At 39.0% G+C, this 16,126-nt stretch overlaps 1 protein-coding gene across 7 annotated transcripts in view; it reads left to right on the forward strand.

Moving 5' to 3' along the window:
• Positions 1–16,126, forward strand: part of PTPRG (protein tyrosine phosphatase receptor type G) — a 736,039-nt gene that overhangs the window by 669,622 nt on the left and 50,291 nt on the right. For 5 of the 7 annotated variants that reach the window (XM_017006961.2, NM_002841.4, XM_047448646.1 and 2 more), the window contains 2 exons: positions 33–119; positions 12,615–12,706. In XM_017006961.2, coding sequence (XP_016862450.1) covers positions 33–119; positions 12,615–12,706 — 179 coding nt within the window. The remainder of the gene's footprint in view (positions 1–32; positions 120–12,614; positions 12,707–16,126) is intronic. The other 2 variants (XM_017006963.2, NM_001375471.1) reach the window with 1 other exon arrangement.

The following is a 16,126-nucleotide window of genomic DNA, read 5'->3' on the forward strand; positions in this document are numbered from 1 at the left end:
CACCTGTTCTCTTTTGTTTTTTGTCCATTTAGAGGGTGTAACAAAATAAAGTCCAAGGGCTTTCCCAGACGTTTCCGTGAAGTGCCTTCTTCTGGGGAGAGAGGAGAGAAGGGGAGCAGGTGAGGGGCGGTCAAGCTTAAGTGGGGGGCGTCTTGATGGCCGGGACTGGCTTGCCAAATTTTTGTTTTGTTGCCATGGGGATTGAAGTCTTGTAGATGGCACAGTGCTGAAACTCACCTGCTTTACCTGAATTCCCAAAAGTAAGACTTGCAAATATCAATTCAGCTTGTGGGTAGCTGGTACCAATTAAAAGTATGTCCTGTGTGTGCTTGCTTTGCTTTATTTTGCAGTTTTGGGGGTGTTATTTGTTTCCGGGTTTGTATGTACTGGGGGTGCTCTATGTTTGTGTGTCTGTATGTGTGTTGCATCCATTTTCTTTCCAAATTTTTAGATATTTGCATGGTTTTGAGCTTTTAAAAAAACATATAATGCATGCATATAGCCTTATGTGAAAAATACCTCTTAGAAACCTAAATTTGTAGATAAGTTAGGGATGAAGAGTAGGAAGGGGAGAGAGAAGTGAGCAAACATGGATGTACTATGTGTTTTTCCTTAAGAATGGTGAAGTTGTTTTTTTTTTTTAAAAAAAGGAAATGCATATGAGTTCTGGATAGTTTGAATACTTGGAAAAATTATTGTCCTGGAAAGAGTTATAGTAAATGTTTGGAACTCATGATTGTACAGTTTTAATCACCACACTTGAGTCTCTTGATAATATTTCTGTAAGGCCTGTCTTAGGCAAACTGTATTTAATATTAATATCTTTTAATATTAAGTTGCTAATTAGACTAATTCACTAATCCATATTATGTCAGGAGCAGTCCCTTTTTACTTTCAATGAACCAATTTATAGGATTTATGTTAGAATTTTTACATGGAATGATTCATCTCCATTGGTTGTGGGTAAATCAGAATACTGAGATGAAATTTTAGATATCCAACTATTATAATCAGATAAACCTATGAAATCTGAGAAGGTATAGTTTAGGAGTTGTGACAGATTAATGAGAAAGTATATGATCTATTTTCTTTTACACTGTACTGTGCAATTTTGGCCTTGTAGGGAAAGCAATAACTGCTAACACTGGTAACTAAATTATTCTGTGATCCCTTTTTGCTTATTAATGTCTTTAATTTCTAATACATTTTCAAAACTAAGGATAGAAACTGAAATAGAAATTTCTCTGTATAGTTTTGGAGTCAAAGACTAATCTTAAGAGAGGAAGACGTTGGACATCACTTAAATGCTTAACTGTCATACCCAGTCCATTATAAATATGTTGTGTTTTTGACTATAACACTTTAAAAACCCAGCATCACCTTATGAATATCACAAAGATAAATGCACATCCAATTTCAGGTCCTCCCCAGAAGTGATGATGTAGCCTGCCAGACTATTTCTTTTATGTACTTCGACCCCCACGTCAGTGGGCCCATTATAGATATATTTTAGATCCTAACAGAGATGCCCCAGTCTCTCTGGTATCTTCTCTGCTGCTCAGTGAAGGAAGCACAATCAGTTTCATCTAGGTCTAGGAGTTGGGAACCATCTTGTGAAACTACAGGTATTTATAGAATCCCTCTGATTGTGAATCATATCATTTACTTTTTTAAATAGTGTAGCAGCTTAAAAGACAGACTTTGGCTCAGGGAGATATGTGTTCTAACTGCAGCTCTGCCACTTCCTGGCCCTGCGACTAGGAAGGGCCCATAGGGCCTTAGTTTCCTTATCTAGAAAATGAGTCTAATGATAGCAACTTTTCATGAGGTTGTTGTGAAGATTAAATGGGGGTAGTATATGTAAAATGCTTAGTGTGTGAAATATATTAACCCATTGAGAAGATGAGGAAATTCAGGCTCTGAGAAGTTGTCACTTGGCTAAGCCACCCTGCCTAAGTGGTTGCCTTGGGACTCCACTGCAGCGGCGTGAATCCTGAGCAGTACCCCCTCTCACAGCTACATGTGCTATGCTAAGTACTCCATGAAAACGATATGGGCCAGATACAGATCCTGTCCTCAAGGGGCGCCATGTCTGTGCTTCTTACGCTAGCCGCCCTGCTGTAATGTACAATTCCTCATTCTGGCCCACTGTCCCCTCTCCTTCCCCATGCTCTCTCCCCAGGCACTTTTGCTGCCTCCTTTCCTGACCCATGTCCATCCTGCTGCTGTTCTATAAAAGGGCTTTGAAAGACAGGGTGCCCCCTACCTCTGTCAGGCTTCTGCAGGAGGCTGGAATGCAAGCCCTTCAACCAGGCTCTCTCTCACCTTTGCCTTTTTCATTCCGCTCTCATTTTCTTTCCTGGCTTGTATCTCCACCTAAAATGTGGCCAGGAATCAAAAGAAGAGCCCCCAGTGATAGCTAAATTGCAACCCTCCAAACAGCTACAAGAGCTGTTACAGAATCCCTACACATTAACTTCATGTGGCATTACTCTTCTGCCCCTGTCATCTCCCTGTCCCACAGCAGGAAGGAAGGAGACTGTGCCGCTAAGACGCGTTGCACAGAGAATTGCTAAAAGCAGGACAACAGCTGTGAGAGGTGATTATCCTCCCAGAAAGGAGAGGAAAAAAACATTGAAGATCAGACCCAAGTATTTAATTTTTTAATAAAGCTGATTTAAGTTTTGAGTAAGTAATACTTGACATGATTCAAAATAAAAAAGTTTAAAATTATATGCACCACTAAATTACCATCCCATCACTCACCCACCCTGCTCCCTACCTCCTCACAAATAGGTAGCCCCTATTGCTAGTTTGTTGTCTATTCTTCCAGGGATTGTTACACATATATAATATATAAGCAAATAATGAATATCCTTTTATCTCCTTGTACACAATGGAATACAGCATATGCAATCATGTGCCTTGCTGTTCTCACTTAACACACGATTTCCCTATGCCTATATAATTTCCTCATCCTTTTACACAGAAGCATGGTATTCCTTTGTATAGAAGTGTCATGATTTAATTAACCTATCCTCTGTGGCTGTCATTTTGATTGTTCTCCGTCTTTTGTTATTATAAACAATCGTGTGATGAATAAGTTTATGTGTCACTTTGCAAGTGGATAAGCATGTCTGTAGGAAAATTTTCAGAGGAAAATTTATTGGCTGTATCACAAGGTACATGCTATTGTGCATGTATGGTGCCAAGTTGCCCTCCATAATGGGATACCAAGGTGGGCTTCTCTCTGCAGTCTATGAGCATGCTATTTCCCTACAGCCAACCCAGCACACTGCATTGTCAAACTTTGGCCTTTTTACTAACCTCATAGGTGAAAAAGAAACGGTGTCTCGGTGTGATTTTAATGTATTATCTCTTACTATAAGTGGGATTGAACCATTTGTTTTTCTGTAAACTGTTTATATCTTTTGCTTGTTTTTTCTTTGAGTTATTGGTCTTTTTCTAATGAAGAGAGATAATCCCTTGGTAGCAATGTGAGTTGCAAATATTTTTTCCCAATTCATAGTTTACTTCTTAACTGTATTTATGGTTCTTCTTTGATGTTTATATAATCAGATTTATCTATATTTTCTGCTTTGTTTTCTAGATTTTGAGTTTTCTTTTAAAAGTCTCTCCATTCTGAGGTTACTCTTTTTTAAAATCACTTTTATGGTTTCAAATTTTAATAGTAAATTCATTTGGAATTTAACCTGGTTGATCGTGTGATGTCTGAATCTACTTCCCCCCCCCGAGATGGTCTCAAGTATTTTAAAAAAAATACTGTAATCTGGGGCTTAGTGAAGAGGCATATAATACCTTCTTAGATCCTTAAAATATCACTCACAGCAAAATACAGTCAATCAGTATATTAACAAAATAAGGAGTTGCCAAGAGGCTTTTACCCAGACATTTTAGATTATAAATACTGAAAAATATGTGCAGTAAATATAATGTGAATTTCATTTCTTACCTCCTCCCCAAAATGAGTTGGACTATCACATCACTGTTAACCTTCCAAAATCAGTGGGATATTGTGTCAGTGCCTTAAAACTGTGGCAAATGAGGTGGAGAGCCCCTCAAGCCTCAGTCCAGATGTTCAGAATATTCCAGTCTAGGGTCTGAAGGGTGAGACAGACACCTTAAAGCCCCTGACTTCAAGCCTTCTTTTCTAAGTAATAGCTGGAAGTCTTGGGAAGTCCTGTCCAGGGCTCACTTTCTCAAAGCCAGCTAAAATAAAAGAACTGTCACGGTCTCATCAAAATGTGGTTTCTGAAGAGACCTTTTCTCTCCTATCTCCTGGAAAGTATTACCAGTACTTCAGTCAGACCTAGGTATCTGCAAGGATTTCTTGGCAAACTTAATGCCTAGCTAAGAGAATATAGTTTTGAGACCACTTTTGTGCCTATAATTTATCATTTTCTCCCACCTTCCTAAAGATGTTAATTGCAGGCAATTTGAATCATCCAATAAAATTCTCACTATGGGAATCAGATTTTTGTCACTTCTGACTGTACCAAAAGTCGACTAGGCCATCTCTCCTATTCATGTGAAATCCAAAATATTTTTGAAACATTCTCTCCTCGTTTTAGTATCTGTTTCCTCTTTCACACCCCATCCATCACTGCATGATTTTGTTCTCTTTTCTCTTCCCTTTTCCCTTTCTCTCTCCTCATATCTGTTAAGCCCTGCTTATCTAAGGTATGACAGCCATATGCCCTGGGACTTCCACAGCCCTCATGTGAAACTTGCCATTTGATTATCCCCCAAAGCACATTGACATTTGTCAAATCTCACGCCCCCTTTTATGATTTGGAAAATATGGCCACTAGAAACATATTTTGGTTTGAGTTTTTCTTTTGAGAAGATCCCTTCCGGAAGAGATACTACAAGTGTAAACTGAGTTTTATAAACTGAATCACTTAACATGCCATAAAAGAAACTTAACAGCAAGTGAGTTGTTGTATATGAAAAATCTCAACTTAGAACTTACATTGGGCTCCTTTCCAAGTGGAATCCCGGAGTTATTTCAGACACTCCTCTTTGAGGAAAAGCCCAACAACGCCTACAGCCTTTTTCTTTTATTGTTGTATTTGTCACTTCAATTTCTTGAAACATTTTGCCCTAATAAATCAATCCATGCCTTTTTAATACAGCTCTCAATCATCTTCCTTGAAAGCATGTGAACGTTTTCAACTTTCTATTTGTAAGTGGCTCTTATTCATGCAGGGTTTACTACAACAGATCCATTTACAAAAGTAGATATTAATGCGATTTCTTTTCTTGACAGCATGAAAATAAATGGGATTATTAGCGGGTATGCTACTGTAAATTTAAATGAGGGCAGTGTGTAAATCAGTTAAGATTGTATAATTAATATTCAGCAGCAGCTCAGCTAACTGCCCTCTCTAGTCTGCAATTAGAATTTTGAGCTACACACTGCTAATAAACTCTTTGCCACCCTGATGTGATTATAGAACCATTGAGTTTAATTTGAAGACAGTCACTTGGTTTCTAATTCCTATATACCAACAATCAGTTAGTTCATGATTCTGGGTTTTCATATGAGTCTGGAGGCCACACTGTGGTCCTCCACCCTGCCCATGTCCAGTAGTCATGATGTTGTTCAGGGCAGTGTTGTAGTAAGCAGAGGACCCTGGATGAGAACAATGTGACATCCCAAGCTTCTCAGAGTGGGTGTACGTGTTGACCCAGATGTCTGTAAACCTCAGGAACCCCTTTTTCCTGTAAGCAGGTTTGGAGACCTGCCTTTTAAGGAGGTTTGTTTGTTTGTTTGTTTGTTTGTTAATACAGCAGTGTTGTGTGGAATTCCAGACATTTCTAATGTTCAGTCTTTCTGCACTCAAGTTCAGCACTTTGCTTCTGAAAAATATTGGTCACTAAATTATTTCCAGGTTCTTGTCAGAAGGGCAGAAAAAGATATAAGAAAATTGTTAGCTCATATCAGAGGTTATCTAAACAGGTTCCCGGAAAAACAGAAGCCACAGAAGAAAAGGCCTTTATGCAGAAATTTGGTCATTCTGGGTATTCTTCCTTAAGAATTCCTGGGTGGAAATGGGGGGTCAGAAGTCTAGAGGTTTTTTTGTTTGTTTGTTTTGGTTATTTTGCTACATTTTGTTTGGGTAGTAAGTCTCTATAACTGGAATTTTATTAATACTTATAAAGGACTGTCAGAGCAGCTGGGCGTGTGTGTGTTTCATTAGTCAAGAAGGCCAATTAAACATACTGGAACCTGTCATGTGCTGGCAGTGTATATTTTTCAGCAGGGAGCTCAGGGACTTGACGTTGACAGCTGATACTGGCCGATGTGTTTCACATCCTGACTAAAAGATGTACTCTGCACGTTGTGTGTGCTCTGTTTTCCCAAGAGTAGACTTTATTTTTAAAGAGGTCTTTATCCTTAAAATATCTCCCTTATTTGAAAGCATGGAAGGTTATTTTTAGAAATTTCAGTCCAAGAGAAAATATTCCTAATCACAAGCTTCATGTGTCCCATGTGGGCTTTTAAGAAGCCATGCATACTTGCACATTGCTACCATCAGGGCTTCAGACACTGTACAGATCTGGACCACAGGTGTGGGTTGTGGGCTTGAGACCCAGAAAACTGCTAACCAGATGCCATACAGATTTGATCAGCTACTATCACACATTACCCTCTGGACTTCCAATCAAACCTTTCTTAGAAATCTTTTGAAGATATATGAGCCCGTGTTTGGTTTTCTAAAAAGGGATGAACGAATGGAGAGTAACATAGGAAGCTTGCTTCCACTCTGCTACTTGGAACTTTCTATAGAAATGTGCATATATCTAATATGTTAGTCATCTTTGGTCAAGCACCAGAAGCACTTCGGTAGCATTTAGGGCTATGCTGTAAGAAAAGTGCATTCTTTTGAACAGAGACGCTCATTCGGTGAGGCAAAATGCTTACTCTGTGAGAGGGATATGAGAAATGGGACCAACTTAGGGACCAACAGATTCACATTTCCCGTTTCACTTTCATTCTGTCTCACATACCCACTGAGTTCGAACTGAGGAGATAACTTGTGCAAACTGAGCTCTTTCTTGTACCCATCTGGGAGCATTCAGTGAATGTTTCATGTAAGTCCCTCTATCTTGGGTATCTTGTTGATGGGGGTGGGCTTTAGAAAGCCATCTAAAACAGTGGTTTTCCAGTTGGTTTAAGTGGCAGGAAACTTGGAATTCAGGATGTCGGAACATCATTATTATTAATAATATTGAAATAAATATTGACAACTTCAATGCCTTCATAGAAACTGAAATTAATTTTCCTACCAGACAAGTATAGCAGTCCACAAGGGTGGACTCTCAGGAGCCATTTTCCCTTTCTCACAGTGGTTCATAATTGGACACAGTACATACCAGAATCCCTAGAGGGAGTCTTCACAATACACAGAGCTATATATACCCCACCCTGCACCTGCTCTGTTAGAATCATCATGAATGGGGCTTACCCTGCCTGGGTATTCTAAAAGCTCCCTAAGCCAAAGAGCTATGCACTGCTTGTTAATAACCACCATTTGACTGATACTTTACTGATAAGAGAGAGAGAGAGACTGAGAGACAGACTGACTGACTGTTCAGGGCCCTCCAAAATTAAGGCATACCTAAATCAGAGTACTTAAAGTGTCAGAAAGATATATGCTGCAAATTGTACAATAGGGGGAAGTAGAAGATAACTAATTTGGGTCATTACTAGGCCTGTCAGAGTCAGTGAAAATAATGTTACCTGGCCTCAGTTTCTTAAAGGGCACAGACAGCACCCAGGCGTTGGGGAAGGGATGAGAAGTAAAAGGGCAGAGGTGGAAACATGAAATATATGGTGGGGAATCATTGGATTATACTTTGTAGTTAAATTTGTAAACATACTTTTTCATTACAAACATCTATTTCATTGATTTCCCTTTTTAGGGTACTTACATATACAAATGTTCACTGAAGAGAAATGATAATTTTGGAAAATGGCTCTTTGTGATCCTAGAAATCTGATTCATTCAGGGAGGGTCTGTAAGGGTAAGTTAGTTGAAAGAGAATTAGACCTAGATAGAAAATTGAAATTGCACGCTCAGTGACACACGTAAGCACTTCGAGAAATTCTTTTTTTTCTTTCTTTCTTTCTTTTTTCTTTCTTTTTTTTTTTTTTTTTTTGAGACCAAGTCTTGCTCTGTTGCCCAGGCTAGAGTGCAGTGGTGTGATCTCGGCTCACTGCAACCTCTGCCTCCCAGGTTCCCAGGTTCCAACGTTTCTTCTGCCTCAGCCTCCCGAGTAGCTGGAACTACAGGCACGTGCCACCACACCTGCCTAATTTTTGTATTTTTAGTATAGACGGGGTTTCACCATCTTGGCCAGGCTGGTCTCAAACTTGTGATCCACCCACCTCGGCCTCCCAAAGTGCTGGGATTACAGGCGTGAGTCACTGTGTCTGGGCAGCGCTTTGAGAAATTCTATCTCCATTCCCCTGCGCTCAAAATTAGAGACAATACTGCCTCCTTAAGTAGATCACAGTTCAGAGGTTTAGAGGCATTAAAACTTGTGTTTTTCTTTTCCTTTTCTCCAAAATCCCTGCTTTTGCTTTTTTTATTCCTGGATACCTCTGAAGGTCAAGAAGCATAATTTCTCGTGGAAATTCCCTGAAATGAGCAAGTTAAAATACAATGTCATGTGATATGCAGCTGCTTTTCTTAGGTATTAAACACAGTGTAGAATTTGTACATGCAAAGGGACCATCTTCATATTGTTAAGGATCATGAAAAGCTGACAATAGACTGACCACCTTCATCAGTCCCTGGCCCAGAGTAGACCCCCCAATAGATAGTTATTAAAGGAATAAATTAAATACCAGCATTGTAATGCCTCCATGAAATGGAAGATTAAGCAAACATTAATAAAGAGGATGCCAGTCTATATTTGTTATCAAGGAGAGATGCATATAGAATGATCTCATTTCGTTTTTTAAAAATAAAACCCCCATGTAGTCCCAGCTACTTAGGAGGCTGAGGCACGAGAGGCGTGAGAATCGCCCGAACCTGGGAGGCGGAGGTTGCAGTGAGCTGAGATCGTGCCACTGCACTCCAGCCTGGATGACAGAGCGAGACTCCATCTCAAAATAAAATAAAATACATACTCCCCCAATACCCAGAAAAAAAAATGGAAAACAGCCCATCTGTCTATATTTGGGTGAGACTATAATAATAGCCCACAGATTGATCTCCTTGTTCCATTTCTGCTGCCCTCTAATCCATTCATCATGTAGCAGCCAAAATGAGCTTTCTGAAAGAAGCAAATCAGATGGTGCCTCTCCATGGATTAAAGCCTTTCATTGACTGTCCCCTGCTCCTAGACACCAGTGAAGGTTCTTTGGTCGCTAGATCCTGCATGATCTGGCTCTGGCCCACCTCTCCAACCTTGCTTTCCACAGCCTTTCCCTTGCCTCTGGCTTCCTTCCAGTTTCCTAAAATGCACCAAGCTCCCTCTGCTCTAAGGCTCTTCAACTAGCTGCTTGACCTGCCTAAAATGGTCTTCCTCCAGAGTTTTACAGGGTTAGACCTCCTTAATCAGGCCTCAGCTCAAATGCCACCTCCTCAGTGAAGTCCCTTCCTTCAGCCGACTTCATTTACCACCACATCATTCTTATTTTCTTCATTGCTCTTGACTATTTGAAGCAATTTATTTGCTTGTTGTGGATTTTTCCCCATGAAGACATAAATACTAGGAGAGTAGGTGCCTTGTGTGTCTTGTTTATCATTGTGCTCCCAGCTCCTCACTGCAGATAGATCAAGGAATAGTGAATAAATGAGGAAAAGTATACAGGGATAGACCTCAAAATATTAATAGTGATCATCACTAGGAGGAAGATTTTGGGTGTTTTTAATTGATTTTTTTCTTTTTGTTCATTTGTCTTGCCTAATTTTTCTGCAAAGATGATCTGTTGCTTATATAATACTTTATCAATTACTCCAGTGCTTAGCCAGGCTTAAGGAAGTAGTTTTAAGGATTGCAGACAGCGGCGGGAATGTGTTGTCTGCATACTTGATGCTGTGCAGTGGGTGCTGAATAAACATTTGCCAAATCCATTGAAATCTTTATTCTACGGGAAGACATTCCCCACAAAGTTCTGTAGTTAGTTGCCCACCCATATATTTGTGTGGGAGGCAAGTGCATGATGTGCAGCAAGGTACAGATGCGGAGCTTTGTCCCCCAGGTTTCTGATCCTTATCCCCAGTCGTGTGCTTTTCGCTGGCAATCATGGAGTTATTTTGCTCCAGGGAAAATCCATTATAAACAGCAGCACATGGGGCACTAGAGTGTGATTTGCTTCAGTACACACTGCTTTTTTCAAAGATAATGTGGGGCCTGTAGTTCCACATATAACTGAGACTGGCTGAACTGTCTGCCTGTCTTGTAGGGAAAAAAAAATCTACAATATAGTATATATATATATCCTTTCCAAGTCACTTTAACAGTAACTTGGCCAATAACAATTGTATTTACTAATAGCTTTACATTTTAGAAGTCTAATAGCCATAATAATTATGGTCTTAAAATCAAAGTTATTTCTTGCATGCATTTGTTTTTTTCAAGTTAAAGGCTAACCCAGTAAATTGCATCCCATTCATCTTAGTGACTTAGAGCACTTATTTGGGCTATTAAGTAGTTGAATAGCTGTCCTCTAACTCAACAAAAGCAGGTTTTCCTTAGCTATGATACTGGATGGTTAAGGCTTTCATTCATTTGTGAAGTCCATAACCTGTGTTTTAACTTTAATGTTACATTCTGGAAATCTGTGCAAATTGGAGAAGGTGGGGGAGGAGAGGAAGGAATCCAAGAGTAGAAAACTTAATAACTAATTTAGAGAGAGAAGGAAGTTATCTCAAACATCAAAATAATTTGTTTCACATAGATTTCCATTGCTTTACATTCAGAAGATTTGGTTAGCACCAGAGCCCTATAATATTATGTGCATTTCATATCCATGTAGCTTAAGTCTGACTAACTTATGTTCTTCACAAATTTAGGTAAAGGCAGCTACGCAAAGAGTGATGAAAACTTGTTTTATTATTTATATTATAAATGCTGAGCAATTCATAGGAAACAAAAAAAACACGCTCATTTTTCTTCAGTGCTCTATTAGAGTAGTCCTGGGAGGCATGTGTCAAGAGTTGTAGTAACTGACGTTCAAAATCTCCTAATGGTATGGAGCAGCAGTCTAGATTGATTCTAGAGCACTATCCAAATGGAAACTGCTTAGAGCTACTTTCCATCTGAAAATAGGCACTGCTTAAAGAACAGCGCTTCATACTATGACATGTGATCATTTCTGATTGCGTGTGGTTATAATAGCCTGTATAAAACCTGAGATGGAAACATCTTTGTAACTCTGTGGTCTCTTCACTCCCAAGGAGATCTTGTTTTTTATAGTTTCTTGATTTTTCTCTAACCTTCCCAACCCTAGCCCCTTCTTTGGCCTCATAGAAACAGGGTATGCCCAATGGAATCATCCCAGGATATTTTTGATTAGATTGAGCAAAGACAACTGTGAAGAAAAGTTGACTTATCTGGTAGTTGGAATACGGGCCCCAGAAAAAGCAAAGCTGTAATGTGTGTAAATGTTGTTTGGTGTGCGACGCCAGAGGAGGACAGATCCCAGTGACACTGTGCACCAGAAGGATGCCGCCTGCTTGGCTAAAAGACCCAGCAGTAGGGCCAGCTATTGTAAAGCCCCTCCGCCAAATGAACAGGGACCCTTCTCTGGTCACAATAGCCATTCACGCTGAGCAGCTTCATTAAATATTCAGCCTGTGCTTCCGGCAGCTCATTAGGGCCGCAATGAGCAGTGACGTGGATGCAGGAAAGCTGAGGGCCAGCCAGCATCGGAGGCAGAGGCTGAGTGAGCTGCTGATGGCTTTTCTCTTCATTGCCTGTCCTATGATGACCAGTGTGTGCTCTCTGCTTTGCTTGAAATACAGGTAAAAAAAACAAACAAGCAGATGACACGTAAGGGCTTCAAGACCTTGTCTCAGATGTTGTCTGGCAAGGGCCTCTGATTCTGAGTGCTTGCCTTCCTGAAGCCCTCTGACCCCTTTAAAGAGCTGTCTGAGGCTTAGGGGGCCTTTGCATGAACAATGTGGTGCTATTGTGTACTTGGGCTGTTTGATGACGATGTTGGAAGGGGATATAAGGTGTGGTTTTGAACTTGGTGCTGGGGATTTAGAATAGCAAATTATTCCTCTGTAACGTACCAAATTTAGAAATATTGTGAGATAACCCTAGCACTCTGTGTGGTAGGTTTACTCTCTACCATGTTTTCACGTATTTGAGTAGTTAAATACTAAGCCTTTCCCTTTGAACTATCAGTTTGGATGCGGTGATGATAAAAAAAATGGATATGCTGTAGCAATTTTGGGCCCCTCCAACAGGCTGAATGTTGTCCTTGTATCTTGTTACTTTTACATGAGTTTACCCTCAGTGCTGTGTGATGTTTAAAGCTGGGAAGATCTATAAAATAAGAATTAAAAGAAGATGAACTCAAATAAAGTATATTCTATTATTGACATGTTTTTCTCTTTTCTACACAGAAAATGTTTTCAGACTGCTCATTTCTATGTGGAAGACAGCAGTTCACCTCGAGTGGTCCCTAATGAAAGTATCCCTATTATTCCTATTCCGGGTAAGTAAGACACTGCTCTTATTTCCAATGGGCTAATTGTTTTTCTCTTTTATTCTCAGTTTTATGTGATAAAACAACAAAATATTTTATAGCCTTTTAAAGCTTGCCCAGTATAAGAAATTCTCTTTAGAAGAACAAATAACTGAGTTAATGTAGTATACAGTCATAGGCAGGAAAGGGAAGTACAGTAGAAAAAAGGGAAAAACCGTACAAAAACATTCTTAGTATCTACTTGGACTAAATTTCATTTGCATAGGCAATTTGTGCTTATATTTTTAAATCACAATTTGTGACACATTTTTTTAAAGGTGATATTTTTCTAAGATTCTTTCCTCTAAAATAATGTATCTTAATGTTCAAAGTTTTGGTTCTTACGATGGTTGTGTGGAAATAGAGGAATACATTACTGGTCTGGTGGATATTTCACTTTTCTTCTAGTAAGAAGATAAAGCACTTGGTTAGTGTTGGGGTAGGGAATAATGGAGTGCACACTGTAGTGAATCCTAGCAAATGCCATAGACATTTAGAAGTTCAGCAGTGGGTTAGGTGTAATAGGATGTGGGATTTGAAGATCTCACCCACCATTTTTATTTGGCATCCCTTCTTCTTTGCCAGATTTTAACTTTCTACGTCCTGGTTTCATTATGTGCTTCCAAATACGTATCTTCAGATATTTTAGATACATCTATCCTCTTGACATTACTCTTTTGCAAACAGAAGCATCACTTTGATTATAATGCCACCCCTCCTCCACACCTGAAGCTCCCCCATCCTGCTGATCTGCCCTATTCTCCATAATGCTTTCCACCAGCTAATGTGCTATTTATTTTACTTTTTTCTTTGCTCTCTTCCCACTACAATGAGAGCTTTATAAGGGCAAGTGGCTATATCCTCAGTGCTAAAATAATTCTTGGCACATAGTAGGTATTCTTTAAGTACTTACATGAATGAACGTTAGAAAAATTTCCTTAAAGTTCTAAAAAGGTCTTGGCTGTGAAACTCAGAGGTAGAGTCATTCTTTGGGTACCATGGAGAAATGCTTCTATTGTTTGCAGATTGTCACTACGTGTGGTTATGGTTGTGGACTGAATTGCCCTGTTATGTGTCTGTATATTGCTAAGTCATTAGATATTACTGGGATTGTCCATGTTTTGTACATTCTAGTCAGCTTTTCTCACTAAAACTTGCCACACAGAAACAAGAAGATTAACAGAAAGTCTCTGATTAACTTCCTGTTGGAGCATTTTGTGGCTGCTAAACTAATTCTCATAAAGATAGGATAAGTTTTGTGTTACTGTGTGTTCTCCACTAACCCTGCCCCTTTTTCCTTGCTGAAGGAGACTACTTTTCCTTTGAGAGTAGAGAAGGTAGACAGGAATCATCAGTCTTCATCAGCATGAAATAAGTAGTTTCATTGAATCTACTGGATTTGCACAATAGCGTGCATATACTTTTTCCTCTTGCTTTACCTACAATATGTGTTGACCACTGGAAAATTCCTGGCAGCCTTTCTCCCCTCTGACCTGATTTGTCTGACACAGACTCAGTTGTTTGGTAGCTGTGTAACTGAAATCCATTTTTGAAGAGTTAAATGGTGAAATACTTACTGGGCTGTTTTTCCATTTCTATTTTCTTTTACCACTGGATTAGGAATCAGAAAACCTAGGTCCACCCTGAAATCTTTGTTCAGTGCCTTCACCTCTCTGAACCTTAGTTTCCAGAATCTGTAAATTAATTAGGATGCCTATTCTCCTTGCCTTTTGAGGTAACTGTCAAGACAACAGTAGATGATATTTGTAAAAGCACTTTGGAAACCATACATTAAGCGAAACGTGTAAGCTGTTGCAACTTTCCTTCCCAAATCATGGTACTGGTAATCCCAGCAGTCATGGAGAGAGAGCATTTGCATGACTCTCATGTTAAAATTGTGTCCCTGACACCGAACTACATCCACTAGGTGTGCCCTACCTTGAATCACTCTTCTTTGATATAGGCTTTAGAACTTTCAATTCACTAGGATCCTCTGAATATGCCTTGCAACACCTTTGAGTAGGTATATTAGACCAGAAATTGCTTTTGAATGTTTTCTGTTTCATTCCCAGTTACCTATTTAATTAAGAAGTTAAATACTCAAAACCCAGGGGCATTTCTTTAAATGTGTCTTTTTCCCTTTTAAATATGTTTCTCCTAATTCATACTCACTACTAGTAATATAACTATATCAAAAGAAGACTGCTTCACATTCTCCACTGAATGAGAAGCCCATGTATTCAATTGTACCTCAGTTGGCAAGGTGAGGCATTCTTGACAAGCTGTAACACGTTTGTAAAGATGAATTATTTTAAATGTAAGGCAGTGTGATGTTAAAGGGCTTACCTAGTGAAATGACGAGTGAGGCTCATCTGTTCTCTCAGGTCTTCATAGCTAACATAGCCTTATTAGGAGTATGCCTAAACAAATGAACTTACTTCACCCTTAACTGAGAGTTACCCTAAATGACCTTTCCTTAAAGAGCTTTCAGCTTGATCACAATCTCTCAGCTTGGTAAATAAAACCCCACAGTCCTATTTAATAGTTACATTTGGAAAATATTTTAATTCACAAAGCACTTTTTAAACAATTCACTGTTCTATTCTTTAGGATTTCTTCTTCTTTAGTTATAGCAGTACAACGGTGTCTCATAAAAGAAAAACACAATTCAATTTTTAACAAACTTGTGAGTTATTTTCACTCTACTAAAGCTTTTACCACAACTTTTCTTTAATGGAGACCTCCATGGAATCATTTTAAATGATTTATCTTAGAAATTATCCAATTGTTTTTATTTCTAAAAATAATACGAGATTTATAGAGCTCCTATGAAGTATTTATTCTACCCATTCAATCTCAGTTATATTTTATCCCTGCTCAAAACCTAAATAACAATAATACCAGACCCCAGATTTGTCAAATTATTTTACCACTTGGGCTCTTCACTCTCTATAATTGATTTTTTTAAAGATATTTGCAGACAACAGACATAACTAGTAAACTGAATCATTATACTGGCTAAAAATATGTGCAGCAGGGTGAAGTTGAAAATTCTGGTACCAAGCTGTTGTAAAAATAGAGCTCCAGGGTCATCACTGTGGAATATGCAATACACTGTGTTCCCAGAGCTTATTTTACAGTTAGCCTCTTAAAAAATTGTTATCTAATAATTATTGAGCTTTACCAACAAAGTATGTTTATTTTCACTATAGTCCTATAGAGACAGGTACAGTTGACACCCCCATTTTCTGGATGAAGAAACTGAGGTTCAGAGACTTTTTTTTAATTTGCCCAAGGTTACAGAGCTAAGCAGTGGAGCTAACACTGGAATTATCTCTGTGACTTCAAAGCACAGATGCTTATAAATGGCTCTGCCACCTCTTGGCATAC

The sequence above is a fragment of the Homo sapiens genome, chromosome 3 (genome assembly GCF_000001405.40).
Source record: "Homo sapiens chromosome 3, GRCh38.p14 Primary Assembly".
NCBI lineage: Eukaryota > Metazoa > Chordata > Mammalia > Primates > Hominidae > Homo > Homo sapiens.